General features: G+C 33.4%; 1 annotated feature.

Annotated features, from left to right (window-relative positions):
* Window positions 1,347-1,516: an enhancer, noted in NCBI's record as "experimental_80715 CRE fragment used in MPRA reporter constructs". NCBI's record gives its function as "activates a minimal promoter by MPRAs in K562 erythroleukemia cells, with activity observed for both the introgressed and non-introgressed 5:104154139 variant alleles {active_cell/tissue: K562}" and the evidence as "EXISTENCE:reporter gene assay evidence [ECO:0000049][PMID:34662402]".

The following is a 2,625-nucleotide window of genomic DNA, read 5'->3' as shown; positions in this document are numbered from 1 at the left end:
GAAGGGCAGAGTAATACTTGGGAACAGTATTTCAATCTGTGGATACAGAGAGAGAGATCTGAACATGTGACTACCAAAAAGGTACAGGGATTAGTTCTGGATGGAATAAACATGATTATTTATTTGTTATTTGTTGCTATATTATTTATATTTTTCTAAAGTCCTGTGAACTTTTTTACAATTAAGAAAAATAAAAATAGTATTTTGGAAGAATATAAAATGTAAGCCAAGGGTTAGAGATTTTTCAGATCTGCTTTACAGACAAGAAAAATAAATCAGAGAGATTGTGACTTTTTAGCTATAAGTAGTACTTATGCGTACTGCATTTTGTTTCTAAAACATTTAAAATATAGTTTTACATTTAATCATGTATCAATCCTTGGTGAGAATTGTTATATTTAATAAAAACTTTATGGCCAGAATTGGAAGCTCATTTTTTTAGTATGGATTATATACCCTTCTAAAATGCTATGTTACCTCTTATTTTTATAAAAATTAAAAATAACATCTAAAAATTAATAACATCTATTATTTGGTACATGCCAGAGACTTTTCACTGAGTATTTCTAGACCTCAGTGAAAACTTTTATTCCCTTATGCAATAATTTTACATCACTCTTAAAATATATGACGATATCCTGTCCAGTATTAAATGACTCAAGTGCTCAAATGCAAACGCTTTTCCTTGTACTTCAATTGCAATTTAAATAAAAATTAGCAGTAATATCAAAATACAGGCATGCAAGTATTCATAAGAAACAAGGAAAGTGTGTATTATAGTACTAACAGAGATGCATATATACTGATCATACATTCTGACATGGATACTGTACCCCCTACTTGATGAATATCTTTAACCTACACTGAGCCACCCATCTGACGCCTTGGCAAGAAACTCACATTTGGTTATGCTTTGGGAATGCCTTTCCCCTTTTCTTGTGCTAAAGACCTATGATTCTTATCTAGTCCAAAATATAAGGGACATCTCTGTGGTCTTTTAGGTTAGAGAGCCCACTAATTTTGTACAGAAGCTTGCATGTGAGTTGCTGTTGTTTGTGAGGAGGAGGAATTTGCTTAGAGTGTATTGTCAGTTTAATTCCCAAATTTATGACAGTTCTTAAATGCGTAAGTGTATCCTCACTAACTTTTGCCTAAAACTGGATTGACACGGAGCTTATACTGAGGAGTGAGCTGAGTAGATAGACAGAAAAGTGTGTGTGTGTATTTTGTGTGTGTGTGTGTGTGTGTGTGTAAGAGAGAAAGAGAGAAACTAAGTAAGGAGCCAAAAATATCAGGTATTCAGAGAGGCAAATTTTGTATGAAATGTTTCAGGAAATAAAAGTGGTCCACTGGCCAGTGGTGACAAAATACCTCCTTACTACATCACTTTGGACCTGTCAGGATGCTCCACCTAGCCTCAGTTTCCTTTCTTATCCTCATTCCCACACCCATAGCAAACTTAACTTTATATTGTGGAAAATATCAAGGTTCCAGTTTCCATTCTAAAGTCCCTTTCTGTGGTGGAGATAACAGTTCGAATTGTGTTTGTCATCTCAGTTAAGATTCATTCATTCAAAAAATAAACATTTATGAAGTTAACATTGAATACATGGTGCCATTATTCTTCACCTCTGTAACATTAAGCCTCTTCTCAGCTCCCTTAGAAAATTTTATGAATGTAAATCCACAGATTGTATTGATATCCTAGGCCATTTTCCTTCACCTATTTACTTCAAAATGTTGAAGACTCTATAGGAGATTCATGTCTTGGAAATATATATAGGTTTAACTTTTAAAAAATATATTGTTATTAAGTATTTTAATTTATATCAGAATTTACTAAAACTAAAAATATTTCAAACATGTAGTAAAATAACATTATTCTCACATTTATACTTTTTTGTTCTTTGGAGAGCAATTACTATATGATGGAAAGCCATGAGAGCATCTGGCTTCTTGGCAAGTCCCAAATACAACCGGCAACCTAGAGATACTGAATGGCTGTCAGATGGTTCAGATGCTATGGATGAGCTTTCCATCTTAACTCATCCACAGTTGCCCCCATTCTTTATATTGGTTGTATTCTGTTTTCCACATAAAGTAAACCCATCATTTCTATGCATGCACATTATTTGCTTCTTTATAATAATACAATTAATTAGACTTGCCTACAATCTATTTTTATATTTTAAAATATTTTGGAAGTATAATGTCTTTCTGAGTAACCATATTTTTTTATATACTCATAGCAGTGACACCTATAGGCAAGCTTCTAATCTTCATGGTGTATATTTTCTGCAATGATTAATAGCTTTGCTTTGAATAAGAATTTAATTATTTTAGGACAACATCTTCCAAATAATGCTATGTCTTGTATTTCTCTAAGGACTATGAATTGTGGGTTTTTTTTTTCTTATAAATATTTTAGACTCTAAATCCCTGGATCAAGATGATCTTGACCTTCCTGCATGTATGCCATGTGGAAATCACCACAGGAACAGACTGCTGAACCAAAGGCAAACAAACAGAGCTGGATTGTTGCCTCCTCATAAATCTGAACTTGCAGTCAGTGGGTAACTGCCAAGTCATAATGAGTATTCAGACGGCATGCCCAGCAAGCAGCTG

The sequence above is a fragment of the Homo sapiens genome, chromosome 5 (genome assembly GCF_000001405.40).
Source record: "Homo sapiens chromosome 5, GRCh38.p14 Primary Assembly".
NCBI lineage: Eukaryota > Metazoa > Chordata > Mammalia > Primates > Hominidae > Homo > Homo sapiens.
The sequence above is the reverse complement of the archived record's forward strand: the minus strand, read 5'-3'. Positions and strand labels throughout refer to the sequence as shown.